At 47.3% G+C, this 18,413-nt stretch overlaps 1 annotated feature.

The window, feature by feature from the left end:
- Nucleotides 12,179-12,473: a silencer, noted in NCBI's record as "tiled region #3419; K562 Repressive non-DNase unmatched - State 21:Repr". NCBI's record gives its function as "represses a minimal TATA promoter and a strong SV40 promoter by Sharpr-MPRA in K562 cells {active_cell/tissue: K562}" and the evidence as "EXISTENCE:reporter gene assay evidence [ECO:0000049][PMID:27701403]".

Here is an 18,413-nt window from a genome sequence, read left to right as displayed (position 1 = left end):
AAAAAATCTATTTATTCTGTCAACAAATATTTATTCAAATTAGATGCAAGGTATTGCACTAGTTTTGGACACAAAGGTGAGCAAAGCATGGTCCCTTGTTACTATTGATTCATTCATCCAGTGAAAAACTACTTATTGAACATCTACTATGTGCCAGGTACAGAGAGGCAGGGGATACAGCCCTGACACAGACATGAAGCCCACCTTCATGGAACTTCTTGTCTAAAAGGCAACAAACACAGACCAATCCGGCCCATCAGGAAGGGAACCCCCAGGCACCAGTGCTAGTGCTTCACTCACATCCTATCTCACCCTCGCAACAGCCCTCTCTGAGGTAGGTTTCAAGACCCCAGTTTAGCAGATGGGGAAACTGAGACTCAGGATGTGACATGACTTGTCCAAAGCCACACAGGGCGAATATGAGAAGAAATCAGGCCCATCTAATCACAGAATCTATGTGTTTTCTGTTAATGCTATTAGCAACTACTAAGATGGATGGAGAACTTATTATGCGATTGAGCCCTTTTAAAAACAAGTTAAAGACTAAACTGGCCAGGCACAGTGGCTCATGCCTGTAATCTCAGCACTTTGGGAGGCCAAGGTGGACGGATCACCTGAGGTCAGAAGTTCGAGACCAGCCTGGCCCACATGGTGAAACCCTGTCTCTACTAAAAATACAGAAATTAGCTCGGCGTGGTGGCATGTGCCTGTAATCCCAGCTACTCAGGAGGCTAAGGCACGAGAATCACTTGAACCTGGGAGGTAGAGGCTACAGGGAGCCAAGATCACGCCACTGCTCTCTAGCCTTGGTGATACAGTGAGGCTGTGTCTAAAAAAAAAAAAAAAAAAAAAAGACTAACTTATTTGATCCTTACAACACCCCATGTGAGGGGTACCATTAAGCACAGAGATGTTAAGGAACTTACCCAAAGTCACACAGCTAGGAAGTGGCAGAAGAGAGATTTGAGCCCAGACAATCAGGATCCAGAGCCCTCTATGCCTGTCAGAGTCTACTGTCTCCGTCTTGTAATGCTGTGAGAGCAGGTTCTATACGTAGTGAGAGCAAGGAAAGAGCACTGGCCTCAGGCAAGATCATCACAGGCTCATTGGGAGGATTATATAAGTTCATTCAGTCATTCAACAAGCAGGTACAAGGTGCCTGATGTATATACCCAACCCAAGGCAATACACTAAGCTTTAGGGATACAGTGGTGAGGAAAAACAGACACATTTCTCCTATCATGAAGCCTACAGTCTCATGGGGAAGATGAGTTTAAACAAATAACTTCCAAAGGAGTATGAGCTAAGATCAGAGAGAGGAAGGAGAGTGAAACATTGCCCTAAGAGCAGGCAACAGTGGACCTGGACCCAGGCTTCACTGGGTGGGCCAGGGGAGGCTCCCCCTGAGGATGAGTGCAGTTACCTAGCAGAAGGAGAGTGAGAATGCCCAGGCTGAGGGGGCAGCACAGGCAAAGTGCCTGGGTTGGAGGGAACATGGTGCTTTTGAGAATAGAAATCAGTAGGTCTGGAGTAGAGAAAGTGATGGAGAAAGACAAGAAGTGACACCGGATGAATTAGGGTAGGAGTGGGAAAGTGTAGGGGGAGGTGGGTGGGTAGGTTCAGATGAACACTTTTAAAGGTTACTCTAGCTACAGTGTGGAAGACAAAATGGAAGACAGGGGTGAATGAAGGGGGTACCTTTCAGAGGATATTGCAATAGTCTGTGCTAGACTATTTGGGGAGTGGGAGATGGATAGCACCACAGGATTCAAACCATATTTAGAAGCCAAAATTGACAGGATCAGGTGATGGCTTGAACTTGGGCAGTGATGGAGAGGGAGGTATCTCCAGGGTCTCTTATTGCCTGGTGGGGGTATTTGCTGAGATGGGAGCAGTGAACCAGGCTGTAAGGGATTCCCCTTCAGCTCCTTCACTGAGGAGGCAGCTGGGCAGTTGGTGCAGAATCTGAATCTCAAATGGTCATTAGTCTCATTTAGAATCGAAGACTAGAGATAAAGCCAAGCTTGAGCCAACGGATAATCATCAGGCAGCTTCCTTAATAGCCACCAGACAAATTTGGCACTGGGCAGAAGAGACACTGATGACTGTGGGAGGGGCTCCACCCCCGAGAGCACACCAAGTTAGTCTTGAGAGACAAAAGGCCCTCCAGCCATCCTGGGCTCACCCCAGCAGGCTGTGGGACCCAGTCAATACCTCACTGTGCAGTGGTGGTCAATTTCAGGGTCATAGAGCCAGGAACACCTGGCATGAGGCTTTTAAAATGACAGCGTAAAGGTTTTATTTTAACTCTTCTTACCCGAGACCCCGGTCCTGCAGCAGAAGCAGCAGTCAGCTGGGGCTTTGCCATGGGTCCTAGCACTGGGTGCTTAGTGGTTAGAGCAGGGGAGCAGGGGTTGTCCACTGGGGGCAGTTTTGCCCTTAGGGAATATTTGGTGATTTCTGGAGATAATTTAGATTGTTGTAACTGGGGGCAGAGTGCTACTGGCATCTAGTGGGTGGAGGTCAGAGATGCTACTGCACATACTGCAATGCACAGCACAGTCCCCTACAACAAAGAATTATCGGGCCCCAAATATCAATGGTGCAAAGGGTAAGAAACCCTGGCTCAGAGCCAAGGCTGAGGTCAGACAGGTTCGGGTCTGAAATCCTGGTTTTACCACACATTTGGCTGGTTGATCTTGGGCAACTTGTCTGACCTCTCTGAGCCTCAATTTCTCCATCTGTCAAAAGGGATTAATAGTGATACTCACCTCAGAAAGATGATGTGAGGATTAGATAAGATCACTGACTGTAAAGAGCTTGAGGCAAATGTTTACTCTTCCTTCGAGTGAGCAGATCTACTCCCAAAGCCAAGTCCTTAGTATGCTGGAGAAGGGAACACAGAGTGGTAAGAATGAGGACCCTGTAGCCACAGTGCCAGATCTAAGCCTGGACTCAGTCACCTACTAGCAGTGACACCTTGGGAAATTGCCCACTTTTTGAAGCCTGAGTTTCCTCATCTGTGAAATGAAGATGATCATAGTACCCACGAAGTAGGGTGGATATGAGGACTTAGGAGCTAATTTTTGTAAATAGCATAGTGTCTGGCACACAGCAGCACTCAATAAATATGAACTAATGTTACAAAAGACAAAAAGAATCAGCACTGCCTCATTTCCTAGTGGCAGGCAAGATAGCAACCCAAACTGCTATATTGTAACTCAACGCTTCCAGAGATGCTAGAATCTCAAATACTCTGTCCATGGCCCTATGAGAACTTTCACTTGTCAGACTGTACACACCGCTTTTCATTTCAGAAGACATGTTCCCTGTTTGGATGATAATAGTGGCTGTTTAGGAAGCCCTGTTGTGCTGAGCACTGCTCAGAGAAGCCCCTCCTCTCCGGGAGTTTCGAGATCATTCAGCCCAATGGTGGAATGTTGCAATTTAAGGATCAGAGCCTGTAAGTAACTTGCAGCTGGAGGCAGAGCAGACGCTGGCTAGCAGTACTTGAGAATCCCAGCTGATGCCGCTTCCACAAGCACAGGAAGGCATCAAGGTTCTTCTTGTTTCCATGGTCCCGGGTTATGTTTACCTCACTGACATTGTGAGGCTAAAATGAAATAATCCATTTTAATGTTTAAGCAGTGTGCCTGGCATATAGTAGGAACTAAATGTTAGCTATTATTATTTACAGTCCTGGCACTTTTTAAAGGGCATGTAAAATAAATATCTTTGATTATCATAAAAATACATTTCTAAAAGCTTACATCAAGCACCATAAAGCCAGAAATAAAACAGTCTCTTTAAAATGCAACCCTGACATAATTTCGTCACCTGGTTACCTTTGCTAATATCAAGGAGTTTTTGTTTGTGTGTGTCTGTTTTTTAAATGTCCATGAGTTGAGGCTCCAGGTTCTATGCAGGGTGTCAAAATATCTGCCCTTCTAGGGTTAGGATGGTAAGAAGGGCTGAAGGCATCAGGCAGGTGTTGCTGGGTGAACACCACCTGGACCATACAATCATGGGAAGTCCCCTTAAAACTTATCCCCTATGCCATTCAAGTTTTTTTCTAGAAGCAGGTCAATAAGCCAGAGTGGCAGAAGGGCATTGTGGTTGTAGCTTTGATTCTCATAAATCCACATTCGAATCCAAGTCTTGCCTCTTCAGGGACACGTAACCTTGGGCAAGTCTCCTCCTCTGAGCATTAGTTTCCTTAGCAGTGATGATAGTACTCAGTATGTTAAATGTTAGTGTTATTAAACGAAGTAAAGAATAGCAAGCTTAAGATTTGAGGTTGATATAGGAAAGAGAAGAAATATTGGGGTTTGAAGAAGAAGTCTCATGGGTTATCTTACTTGTTCCCAAGTCCCACTTCTGCCACTTGATTGGGTGACCTGGGGAGGTCACTCATCTGTCTTAGATCAGTTTCTTCATCTGCAAAGAGGCCCATAATACCTTAAATGAGATGACCCCCGGGCAAGCACTTTGTTAGTAATAAAGCCAAAAAGTCATATTCATTATAGCTGTGATCCCTTTTCAGAAAGAACTGTCAACATTCCACAAATATTTATTGTACCTCACACATGATATAAAAAAAAATTAAACATAACCTAATATTTAAAGTTTTAAATTAAAAATTCTAAACATACTATATTTCTTATTTTATTCCGTTCTACGTTTTAAAAATTATTCTATTCTATGTATTTTAAAGAAATAAAAAAGCTGCACGGAGCTAGTCATTTTGCCCTGTTCGCCAAATAGTTCCAGATCGCTGCCTTTGGGGCACTTGGTGAGATTGCCCCGCCCCCTTGTGGTTGAGTGGAGCCGTGTGACTAGCTGTGGCCAATAAGCTGTGAGCAGAAATGACAACTGTCACTTCGAGTCCCAAGCATTTAATTGAGGGTGCCATATCCTCTAGAGCTGCGACTGTCCCACTAGCAGGGCGACTGACAGTGATGAGATGGCAGCTGCACCCTCCGCCAGGGCCCCGGTGACCAGCAGAGCCTTCTGAGGATCCGCACTGGCTGCACCGGCATGGGGCTTAAATGAGAGATTAATGTGTGTGGTGTAGACTTCTGAGTTTTGGAGCCACTGAATTTTTAACTTTTCAAAAGTTTTTTTTTAAGGTAAAACTAATTTTAATAATATATTTTATTTAATCCCATACATCCAAAAGATTATCATTTCCATTTTTTTTTTTTTTTTTTTTTTTTTTTTTTTGGAGTCAGAGTCTCACTCTCACCCAGGCTGGAGTGCAGTGGTGCGATCTTGGCTCACTGCAGCCTCCGCCTCCCGGGTTCAAGCGATTCTCCTGCCTCAGCCTCCTGAGTAGCTGGGACTACAGGTGCACGCTGCCACGCCCGGCTAATTTTTTGTATTTTAGTAGAGATGGGGTTTCACCATATTGCCCAAGCTGGTCTCAAACTCCTGAGCTCAGACAATCCACCCGCCTCGGCCTCCCAAAGTGCTGGGATTACAGGCGTGTGCCACTGTGTCCAGCCAAATCTTTTTTTTTTTTTTTTTTTGGTAAATCCTTCGTGAGGCCAGGCGCAGTGGCTTATGCCTGTAATCCCAGCACTTTGGGAGGCCCAGGCAGGTAGATCACTTGAGGTCAGGAGCTCGAGACCAGCCTGGCCAACATGGAGAAACCCCATCTCTACTAAAAATACAAAAATTAGCCAGGCCTGGTAGCACAAACCTGTAGTCCCAGCTATGCGGGTGGCTGAGGCAGGAGAATCTCTTGAACCCAGGAGGCGGAAGTTGCAGTGAGCTGAGATCATGCCACTGCACTCCAGCCTGGGCAACAGAGCGAGACTCCATCTCAAAAAAAAAAAAATCCTTCATGAGAAAAGTTATATTCTTTTTTACATACCAAGTCTTACAATCTACAGTGGGTTTTACATTTATAGCCCATCGCAATTCAGGCGAGCCACATTTCCAGTGCACTGCAAGCCCCAGTGGCTTATGGCTGGTTCCTATGGACAGCTGTGCTGTCCAGCAACTTATCATCCCCTAAAACTGAAACTCTGTACTCATTAAACACTAACTCCGCATTCTTCCCATCGCCCAGCCCCTGGTAACCACTATTCTACTTTCTGTTTCTATGAATTTGACTACTTTAAGCACCTCATATAAGTGGAATCATACAGTATTTGTCTTTTTGTGACTGTCTCACTTCACTTAGCGCAGTGTCCTCACAGTTCATCCATTTGGTAGCATGTGACAGAACTTTCTTCCCATTTAAGGCTGAATAATATTCCATCGTGTGTATCTGCCACATTTTCCCTGTCCATTCATCCATCGATGCACACTTGGTTTGCTTCTATGTTTTCGTTATTGTGAATATGCTGCTATGAATATGAGTATGGGTATATAAATGTTGACTCGTTATGATATGTGTGTTGTTGTTGTTAAAATGGAATTGTACCATGCTCACTGCTTAGGCAGTCTGCTTTTTCTAATGTACCAATATGTCAGGAGCATTTCCATGAAATTAAATACTCTTCTACTTAATTGTTCTGAACAGCCAAATAGTACTTCTTATGTGGCTCTATGATTATTTATTTACCCAATCTGCTACCGTTAGACATTTAGGTCATTTCTAATTGTTAATTACATTTGACAAATAGTTTCTCCTTCTCATAATGCCTCATCTCTAACACAGCAGACAGTAGGAGGATACATTCAGATGGAAGACGGCGTGGTCACCCCAGGGCATCCACTGTCACCAGGGTTTTGCCACAGAAGACCCAATATCTTTGTAGCTGTGGAGGGCATAACCTTCTCTGGGCATTGCAAGGAGAGCTGTGCACAGCTGTGCAAAGAGTGTTGGAGTCACGGGGCCGTGAGCAGTTCTGGGTCCTGCCACATTCAAGCCCTCAGACATCCACTCTGAGCCTGTTTTCTTATTTGGAAAATGAGGATAATGATACTGGCCCCTTGGCATTTTTTTATTTTTTAAATTGACAAATACAACTTGTATACATTTATGGTGTACAGCACGATGTTTTGACATCTATGCACATTGTGGAATGGCTAAATCAAGCTAATTTATATATGCATTATCTCACCTATTTATGGAGAGAACACTTAAAGTCTCCTCTCAGCAGTTTTCAAGTATATAATACATAGCTATTAACTATAGACACCAGGTTGTACAATCGATCCTTGAACTTATTTTTCCTGTCTAAGTGAAATTTTGTATTCTTTGACCAACATCTTCCAATCCTCTCCCCTCCTCGCCCCTGATAACCACCATGCTGCTTTCTGCTTCTATGAGTTTGACTTTTTTAGATTTCAGTTTTCAGTGAAATCACACAGTATTTGTCTTTCTGTGTCTGGCTTATTTCACTTAACAATGTCCTCCAGGCTCATTTTCTTTATCCGTTCATTTGTTGATGGACACTTAGGTTGATTCTGCATCCTTGGCTATTTGAATAATACTGCAACAAAATGGGAGTACAGATATCTCTTGGACTGACTTGATTTCATTTCCTTTGGATACATACCTAGTAGTGAGATTGTGGGATCATATAGTAGTTCTATTTTTAGTTTTTTGAGGAACTTCCATACTGTTTTCCCTAATGGCTATTTTTTTTTAAGTCAGAGTCTCACTCTTGCCCAGGCTGGAGTGCAGAGGTGCAATCTCAGCTCACTACAACCTTTGCCTCCCAGGTTCAAGCGATTCCCCTGCCTCAGCCTCCTGAGTAGCTGGGACTACAGGCATGCACTACCATGCCTGCCTAATTTGTGTATTTTTAGTAGAGACGGGGGTTTCACCATATTGGCCAGGCTGGTCTCAAACTCCTGACCAGCCCATAATGGCTATTCTAATTTACACTCCCACCAACAGTGTATAGGTTTCCTTTTTTCCACATCCTTGCCAACACTTGGTATCTTCTGTCTTTTTTATAACAGCCATTCTAACAGGTATTAGGTGATATCTTGTGGTTTTAATTTGCATTTCTCTGATGATCAGTGATGCATTTTTTCATATACCTGTTGTCCATTCATATGTCTTTTTTTGAGAAATGTCTATTCAAGTCCTTTGCCCATTTTTTAATTGAGTCATTTGTTTCCTTGCTATTAAGTTGAGTCACTTATATATTTTGGATGTTAACCCCTTATCAGATGCATAGTTTGCGAATAATTTCTCCAATTCCATTGGTTCTGTCTTTACTGTGTTGATTGTTTCTTTTACTGTGCAAAAGCTATCTAGTTTGATGTAGTCCCATTTGTCTATTTTTGCTTTTGTTGCCTATGCTTTTGGGATCATATCCAAAAAACCATCACCCAGACTGTCACGGAGCTTTCCCCCTATGTTTTCTTCTAGTAGTTTTCTTCTAGTGTTGAAGTCTTTCATCAATTTTGAGTTGATTTTGATGTAAGAGAAGGGTCCAATTTCATTCTTCCACATGTGGATATCCAGTTTCCCCAACACCATTTCTTGGAGAGGCTATCTTTTCCCCATTGTGCATTCTTGGCCCCTTGATGTTGTTGTGGAGGTTAAGTTAGACTGACTGTGAATTCTGTTAAGGAAGTTAGGCTGAGCACACAGACAGAGCTCTGCCTTCTCCCGATGCTCCACTAAACTCGAAGGCAAAAAGGATTATTTATTTATTTATTTATTTATTATTTATTTATTATTATTTTTTAATTGATCATTCTTGGGTGTTTCTCGCAGAGGGGGTTTTGGCAGGGTCACAGGACAATAGTGGAGGGAAGGTCAGCAGATAAACAAGTGAACAAAGGTCTCTGGTTTTCCTAGGCAGAGGACCCTGCGGCCTTGTGTCCCTGGGTACTTGAGATTAGGGAGTGGTGATGACTCTTAAGGAGCATGCTGCCTTCAAGCACCTGTTTAACAAAGCACATCTTGCACCGCCCTTAATCCATTCAAACCTGAGTGGACACAGCACATGTTTCAGAGAGCACAGGGTTGGGGGTAAAGTCACAGATCAACAGGATCCCAAGACAGAAGAATTTTTCTTAGTACAGAACAAAATGAAAAGTCTCCCATGTCTACCTCTTTCTACACAGACACGGCAACCATCCGATTTCTCAATCTTTTCCCCACCTTTCCCCCCTTTCTATTCCACAAAACCGCCATTGTCATCATGGCCCGTTCTCAATGAGCTGTTGGGTACACCTCCCAGACGGGGTGGTGGCCGGGCAGAGGGGCTCCTCACTTCCCAGTAGGGGCGGCCGGGCAGAGGTGCCCCTCACCTCCCAGACGGGGCGGCTGGCCGGGCAGGGGGCTAACCCCCCACCTCCCTCCCGGACGGGGCGGCTGTCCGGGCGGGGGGCTGACCCCCCCACCTCCCTCCCGGACGGGGCGGCTGGCCGGGCGGGGGGCTGACCCCCCCACCTCCCTCCCGGACGGGGTGGCTGGCCGGGCAGAGGGGCTCCTCACTTCCCAGTAGGGGTGGCCGGGCAGAGGCGCCCCTCACCTCCCGGATGGGGCGGCTGGCCAGGCGGGGGGCTGACCCCCCCCACCTCCCTCCCGGACGGGGCGGCTGGCCTGGCGGGGGCTGACCCCCCCCACCTCCCTCCCGGACGGGGTGGCTGCCGGGCGGAGACGCTCCTCACTTCCCAGACGGGGCGGCTGCCGGGCAGAGGGACTCCTCACTTCCCAGACGGGGTGGTTGCCGGGCGGAGGGGCTCCTCAGTTCTCAGACGGGGCGGCCGGGCAAAGACGCTCCTCACATCCCAAACGGGGCGGCAGGGCAGAGGCACTCCCCACATCTCAGACGATGGGCGGCCGGGCAGAGACGCTCCTCACTTCCTAGATGGGATGGCGGCCGGGCAGAGACGCTCCTCACTTTCCAGACTGGGCAGCCAGGCAGAGGGGCTCCTCACATCCCAGACGATGGGCGGCCAGGCAGAGACGCTCCTCACTTCCCAGACGGGGTGGCGGCCAGGCAGAGGCTGCAATCTCGGCACTTTGGGAGGCCAAGGCAGGCAGCTGGGAGGTGGAGGTTGTAGCCAGCCAAGATCACGCCACTGCACTCCAGCCTGGGCACCATTGAGCACTGAGTGAACGAGACTCCGTCTGCAATCCCGGCACCTCGGGAGGCCGAGGCTGGCGGATCACTCGTGGTTAGGAGCTGCAGACCAGCCCAGCCAACACAGCGAAACCCCGTCTCCACCAAAAAAATACGAAAACCAGTCAGGCGTGGCGGCGCGCACCTGCAGTCGTAGGCACTTGGCAGGCTGAGGCAGGAGAATCAGGCAGGGAGGTTGCAGTGAGCCGAGATGGCAGCAGTACAGTCCAGCTTCGGCTCGGCATCAGAGGGAGACCGTGGAAAGAGAGGGAGAGGGAGACCGTGGGGAGAGGGAGAGGGAGAGGGAGAGGGAGAGGGGATTATTTTTTAAAGACATAAAATCATGAGGATAATTATCACAAAAGAGGAGATGACATTAGAAAAATTTGGAAGAGAGAAAAGCAGATCGATGGCCTATAACTTAGCAGAAGCAAGAACCCTGAACCCACCGGGTGCAGTGGCTCACACCTGTAATCCCAACGCTTTGGGAGGCCGAGGCAGGTGGATCACTCGAGGCCAGGAGTTTGAGACCAGCCTGGCCAACATAGTGAAACCCTGCCTCTACTAAAAATATAAAAATTAGCTGGGCGTGGTGGCATGTGCCTATAATCCCAGCTACTCAGGAGGCTGAGGCAAGAGAATCGCTTGAACCCGAGAGGCGGAGGTTGCAGTGAGCCAAAATCATGCCACTGCACTCCAGCCTGGACCACAGGGTGAGACTCTGTCTCAAAAAAATAAATAAATAAAAATAAAGAACGCTGAACCCTAAATTACCAATGGGGAAAGATGAAAGTAACCCAGTTTATGCTGCAGAACCCCCAATGGCTCAGTGATTATCTGCAGATACCGAGGTGAGGCGGAGCTGATGACAGCAGAGTGCTTCCCTTCCCTTCTTTGCCTTCCCTGCGCCCAGTTACTGTGTCTGATGGAAACACTGGTGAGGTCTGAGGCGCAGGGGTGAGAGAGGCTGTCCCCTCTATGGGCACATGCAGCTGCTGTGGTGCCAGGCACTCTGATGGGCTCCAGGTGTCTGGGGTGGGGGAGGGTGGCAGACACAGAAGGACAGCCGAAGTGGGTCTGGCCCAGGAGATGGACTCTGCCGGGCCTAGAAGAAAGCCTGCAGAGGCAAGTTAGAGACCAAGACAAAGGGGATGCAGGCAGGGAGGTCTGGCGGGCTGCCTCACCCCAGAGCATTTGCTCCAACCACCCACATTAAGACAGGGACTTGGAGGCCTGAGGGGACAAAGGCCTTGCCCCAAACTCATACTTAGCCTGGCCCTGCCCATCACTCCAGCCCTGGCTCTCTCCCTGCCTCCTTTTCCTCCGCCCAGGCAGACAATGGCTTCCTCCAGACCTCTGCTCCAGGTTCTTTCTCTTCAGCCCTCGCTTGGAGAGGTGCAGGGGACGTCCTGCCAGTAGCTAGGCACAGAGTCCCCCGTGTGGGGCCTTCCCACTCCCGCACGAGACCATTCCTGCCCTCTGTTAGCACCATAACCCCTTCTAGGAAATCAACCCTGAATCCTGCTCTCAGAAACTCCTGCTCCCCATTGGTTGTCACATCAAGTGCTCGCTAACTTGCCTTTAACCCTCCCGAGGCACATGTGCTCTCCTAACCATCTGAAAAGAAACAAGCCTCCAGCAGGACACAGTGGGTCACGCCTGTAATCCCAAAACTTCGGGAGGCTGAGGCAGGCAAATCACTTGAGTTCAGGACTTTGAGACCAGCCTGGCCAATATCATGAAACCCCATCTCTACTAATAATACAAAAATTAGCCGGGCATAGTGGCAGGTGCCTGTAATCCCAGCTACTCAGGAGGCTGAGGCGGGAGAATTGCTTGAACCCGGGAGGTGGAGGTTGCAGTGAGCCAAAATTGTGCCACTGCACTCCAGCCTGGGTGACAGAGCAAGACTCTGAGAAAGAAAACGAAAGAAAGAAAGAAAGAAGGAAGGAAGGAAAGAAAGAGAGAGAGAAAGAAAGAAAGAAAAGAAAAGAAAGAAAAAGAAAGAAAGAAGGAAGGAAGGGAGGGAAAGAGAGAGAGAAAGAGAAAGAGAGAAAGAGAGAGAGAGAAAGAGAGAGAAAAAGAAAGAAAGAGAGAGGGAGGGAGGGAGGGAAGGACGGAAGGAAGGAAGGAAGGAAGGAAGGAAGGAAGGAAGCCTCCAAAGGTCAAAGGGTTGTAGTTATAATGGTGGATACCTAGGCAATGGGACCAGTCATTTAGACAAAGGAGTGCTGCTCCAATCTCACTGGCAGGCAGCCAGCCTTCTCCCATGGAGGTAATGCCCACTATACTAAGGGAAAGTAGGGGGAAGGTATTCCAGCTCCTGTTTACCCACATGGAGTCAAGCGCCTTTAGCCAAGGCAAACACTCCCACAGGACAAGGGCCAAGTCATTTCAGGGCCATGTCCTCTGCCCCTGGGGTTGCTAGATTTAGCAAATAAAAATACTGGGCAGGGCTGGGGTGGTGGTTCACGCCTGTAATCCCAGCACTTTGGGAGGCCAAGGCAGGTGGATCACTTGAGGTCAGAAGTCCAAGACCAGCCTTGCCAACATGCGGAAACCCTGTCTCTACTTAAAACAAACAAACGAATGAACAAAAAAATGAAAATTAGCCGAGCGTGGTGGTATACGCCTGTAATCCCAACTACTTGGGAGGCTGAGTCAGGAGAAGTGCTTGAACCTGGGAGGCAGAGGTTGTAGTGAGCCGAGATTGTGCCACTGTACTCCAGCCTGGGTGACAGAGTGAGACTCTGTCTCACAAAAAAAAAAAAAAAAAAATACTGGCCAGGAAATCCAGTTAAATTTGAATTTCAGATAAGCTACAAATAATTTTTACTAAGTACGCTCCATGCATTATTTGGGGACATACATATACCAAAAGGACACTGATTATTTATCTGAAATTCAAATTTAACAGGCTTTCCTGTATTTTTCCTGATGATTCAAGCCCTTAGCTGACTATACCACACACAGGGGCTGGCACACAGTAGGTACTGATTGAAGGAGGGATTTGTTTCACCTTCTAACTGGAGGCGAAATCAAAATTTTACATTTCACTGGGTCAGAGTGGACTTTCTAGTTACTGCCGTGAGTTTTAATTATCAAAATGAAACTGTTTACTTTGACCAAAAGGGAACAGAAAGCCATAGAACTGCCTGAATTATCAGCAGGAGTCAAGAAGGGAAATCGGTTCTTTATAGAGCAAGTTTGCAGGTAAAGGAGACCATTTCCTCCTTGTCCCCCCTCAATTCCAGCCTATTCAATTCATTTATTCAACAAATATTTATTGAGTGCCTACCGTGTGCCAGGCACTGCTCAACAAATCAATGAAATTATTATTATCATCCTTCTTATGGTCCCATTTGATTGAAGAGGAAAACTGAAGTCCAGAGAAGTTAGGTGACTTGCCCGAGGTAACACAGCAGGTGGGTGTTGGATATAAGATTAACACCCAATATATCCGATACCTGAGCCCTTGCTCTTTCCATTGTGTGACTCTGTAGAGGTACGAGGCCCTTAGAAGGAACTAGGCAGGTAGAACTCACACAGAGAGCCTGCAGCCCCTCAGCCAACACCCAGTATTATCCTTTTATCTCTGATGCATCTACCTGGCTCCCCTTCAACCACTACCCCCTGTCCCAAGCCACACTCAGCTCTTGCCTCAACAACAGCAATAATTTCCAGGCTGGTCCACCTCTCTGGCTCCCTGCAATCTGTTCTCCATACAGCAGGCAGAATGGCCCATATGAAAGGTAGATGCAACCATGTCACCTTTCCACTATGTCATTTTCCCACCTTTCTTTCTTTTCCTTTCTTTCTTTCTTTCTTTCCCCTTCCTTCCTTCCTTTTTCTATCTTTCTTTTTTTCTATCTTTCTTTTTCTTCTTCTTTTCTTTCTTTCTTATTTCTTCCTTTCTTTTCAGAGTTTTGCTCCTGTTGACCAGGCTGGAGTGCAGTGGCACAATCTCGGCTCACTGCAACCTCCAACTTCTGAGTTCAAGCAATTCTCCTGCCTCAGCCTCCCGAGTAGCTGGGATTCCAGGTGCTCACCACCACATCCAGCTAATTTTATATTTTTAGTAGAGACAGGTTTTTGCCATGTTGGTCAGGCTGGTCTCGAACTCCTGACCTCAGGTAATCTGCCCACCTCAGCCTCCCAAAGCCCTGGGATTACAGACATGAGCCACCATGCCTGGCCACCTTTCCACCTTTCTACCTTTCTATCTCCTCGGATATCCATAAAGCTGCTAACCATGGCCCGGCTAATAATCCACCTTTGCTGACTCCTCCAGCTGCCTCTTGCTTCCCTGGCCTGTAGCAGTCAGTGTTTTGTTATCTTTTACTGCATATCATCCCAACATTTAGTGCCCTAAAACAACTGTTTATATCTCTTGTGATTCTCTGGGTTGACTGGGCTCAGCTGTATGGTTCTTCTGGGGCTGTAGTCATCTGGAGGCTTGACTCGGCTGGCTTTCCAAAGTGGCTTACTCACATGTCTGATGGTTGATGATGGCTGTTGCCTGGGAGTTCAACTGGGGCTGTTGCCTGGAGTGCCAACATGCAGCCCTCCATGTGGCTGGGGCTTCTCACAGCATGCCAGCTGGGTTCTGAGACAGAGTGTCTCAAGAGTGAGCATTCCAGTAGCTCTTAATTTCCAGGCTAGGCCTAGAATTGACGAGCATCAGTTCCACCACTTTCTTTTTGGTTAAGCAGTCACAGGGCTGGTGCCAATTGAAGGGAGGCAAAATAAGCTTCATTTCTCAATGGGAAAACTTTATGTTTCGCTTTAATACACCACAGTCAGTCTCCGTTTCAGATCACAGGAACTGCAGCAGCTTGTTTAGGAAGAAAGGAATTTAATACAAGGGAAAGGTACTTACACCAGTGTTGGGAGGGTTGGAGAGGCTGACTCTAGGCTGAGCTTCCAGAAATGATCCCCAGAAGAACACTGCAGAACTGGCCTGCCAGGGGAGCTGCAGCCACCACCATAATCAAGAAGCTGGGAAATCAGGTGGCCACCACCCCTGCCGGCTCCAGGAAGGACAGTACTCTACCCTGACCCATGCCGCAGAATGGGTGACCCAAGCTCTTCCCCTACAATCACAACACATGGATCTAGACGCTGAGCCCTCTGCAACAGCTGCTGTGGAAAAACAAATACCTCCTTGACTCTGCTTGTCCAAAGACCAGAGAAACATGGCCCCTGACTTAGAACATTAACATCCATGGTACATCTGATTGGTAGAGCCTAAGTCGCATCTGACCTGCACCCTTGGCTTCAGAGACATCTAGCTTCTGAGTCTCTCTAGTACAGGAAGACACACAACAAAAGAGGCTGAGCGAGCCAAGCTGTCGCCTCTTTGCAGTCCTGGGCCTTCTCTCAAGTCTCCCTGCCTCTTCTTGCTGCTACAGGGCTTTGCACACGCTATTTGCTTCTGTCTGTGATTCCCTTCCTTCTCTCTTCTTCCCCTCTTCCTTCGGATCCCAGCACAAGTATTTTCTCTGATCTTCCTATCATTTTATATATCCATTCTACAGACGAGGAAACAGGCCAAAACTGGTTAAGTAATTTGCCCAAGAGCACACCAGTAAACAGTGTAGCTGAGATTTGAACCCACACAGCCTGACTCCAGAGCCTGCTCTTAACCATCGCATGTTATACAAAGGTGAGTTCACCTGTGTTAAAAGGCCCAGGCAGGGCAGATAAACAAGGATGATGCTTCAGCAAATGCTGGTGAGAACAAAAAACTCAGAGTGACAGCAAGTGCAGGTGGAAGGTCGCAGGACAAGGTCAGATGCTAGAGAGCTTGGCCCTAGATCCCAGAGAACATCAACAGGCTGAGTTTCAAATGGAGCTGAGCTAGAGGAGTACAAAAATCCCCAAAACTGCTGCCCTCCACTCAGGGAGCAGAGAGCCATTTGCCCCATGTATCGGGGGAGGAAAGCATCCTGTGTCTCTCCTGCGTGGGACTGCCATTTTCAGTGGCAAAACCCACAATCACAGTGAGCAAAGTGTGCTCAGCTCTCACAACTTTAACAGAATTTGTAAGGCAAAGAGACAGCTATGAAGGGGAGGGCTGGGCACAGTGGTGCATGCCTGTAGTCCCAGCTACTCAGGAGACTGAGGCAAGAGTTTGGAGTTGTAGCATGCTATGATCATGCCTGTGAGTAGCTACTGTACTCCAGCCTGGGCAACATAGCAAGACCCTGGTTCTAAAATATGTGTGTGTGTGTACATATATATATATATATATATATATATATATATATATATATAATTTTTTTTTTTGAGACAGAATCTCGCTCTGTCTCGAGGCTGGAGTGCAATGGCACAGTCTCAGTTCAATGCAACCTCTGCCTCCTGGGTTCAAGCGATTCTCCTGCCTCAGCCTCCCAAGTAGCTGGGATTACAGGTGCCCATCACCATGCTCAGCTAATTTTTGTATTTTTAGTAGAGATGGGGTTTCACCATGTTGGCCAGGCTGATCTTTAACTCCTGACCTCAGGTGATCTGCCTGCCTCCCAAAGTGCTGGGATTATAGGCATGAGCCACTGGGCCCAGCCTTAAAATATATATTTTTAAAAAGAGGAAAAAAGGAGAAGGGAAGAAGCCATCATACAGGAGGGACTTAGGGTACAATTTTCACCCTGCCTGCCTTCCCTCAGCAGCCAGAGTCTCCCTCTGTCACCCAGGCTGGAGTGCAGTTGCGCAATCTTGGCTCACTGCAACCTCTGCCTCCCGGGTTCCAGCAATTCTCCTGCCTCAGCCTCCTGAGTAGCTGGGTTTACAGGTGTGTGCCACCACGCTCAGCTAATTTTTGTGTTTTTAGTAGAGATAGGGCTTCACCATGTTGGCCAGGATGGTCTTGAACCCCTGACCTCAGGTGATCCACCCGTCTCGGCCTCCCAAGATGCTAGGATTACAGGCATGAGCCACCATGACCGGCCCACATTTGATTTTTTCTTAAAGTGTAGTATCTCATCAGTTTATGAACAGCAAAATTGCAGCATTTGCCTTCCCTAAGCCAGATCTGGGAATTCCTGAAATAGAAGAGTAGCATTCCCTCTTCCCTGGCCACCACAATTCAGGTCCCTCTAAAGCCAGCAGATGCTTAGCAAATAAAAATGACAGGGCCAGGAGACCTGATTTAGTGACCCAGCTCTTCCACTTACCTACTATGAGATCTTAAGTAAGAACCTCTTCCTCCCTGAGCCTGCTGCCTTGTTCATAAAGTGAGGGCATTGGATAAGAACAAAGATTTTAAATCTTTTTCTTAGCAGCAAAATCTCTTGTTCAAAAAAATCTTACATACTCCTATCCTGTGGTTGAATAGGGATGTAGGAGCCAGGAGAGGTGGCTCACGCTTATAATCCTACCACTTTGGGAGGCTGAGGCCAATGGATCACTTGCGGTCAGAAGTTCGAGACCAGCCTGGCCAACATGGTGAAACCCCGTCTCTACTAAAAATACAAAAATTAGCCAGTAGTGGTGGTGCATGCCTGTAACCCCAGCTATTATGGAGGCTGAGGTAGAAGAATGACTTGAACCTGGGAAGCAGAGGCTGCAGTGAGCCAAGATTGCATCACTACGCTCTAGCCTGGGTGACACGGTGAGACTCTGTCTCAAAAGAGAGAGAGAAAAAGAAAAGAATAGGAATGTAGGACTCAGCAACTAGACCATTCCCAACCTCCTTCTCTGTGAGGCCCTTCTCCTTGAGTGAGAAAACACTGAATGAGCTGATGTCTAAGGATGCTTTGAGCCCTGTCATTTTAGAAATCAATACATACTTCCGGGAACTGGAGGATTTAGTTTGGGAAAGTAAAGGTTCCTTGCACTGTGACTAGCTCACCCTGTCACCTTGCTTAAGCACCTTGCCCACTCTAGACCTCAGTTTTCCCATCTAGAAACTGGAAGCACTGGACTTGGTTGTCCAAGTCCTTCTAGCTTTGAAACTCTAGGCCTCTGCCCTGGTAAGGTTGTGGGAAAAGAAGACCCAGGGAGGCGTATATGGGGGCAAGGGGTCAGGGACAGCAAGAATAAGGTGATTTTCAGAGATTCTATCCAGGAACAATCCAAGAAGCAACTCAGGTAGGACTGAGGGTTGTATGAAGCAATAAGACTCCACATTCAAATCAATTAAAGAGGTCATGGCCACAGTTTCTGTGTTAGAAAGAATAGGAGGAGAACTAGGGAATTGTATTATGTGGGACTGTATTTCGTGGGATAGATGGATAGATAGACAGACGGGTGGACAGATGGGTAGATGGATAGATGAATGGATTAACAGATGAACAGATGGATAGATGGATAAGTGGATAGAAGCTTGGGTGGACATATGGATGAATTGGATGGATGGATGGATGGATGGAT

The sequence above is a fragment of the Homo sapiens genome, chromosome 1 (genome assembly GCF_000001405.40).
Source record: "Homo sapiens chromosome 1, GRCh38.p14 Primary Assembly".
Lineage (NCBI taxonomy): Eukaryota > Metazoa > Chordata > Mammalia > Primates > Hominidae > Homo > Homo sapiens.
The sequence above is the reverse complement of the archived record's forward strand: the minus strand, read 5'-3'. Positions and strand labels throughout refer to the sequence as shown.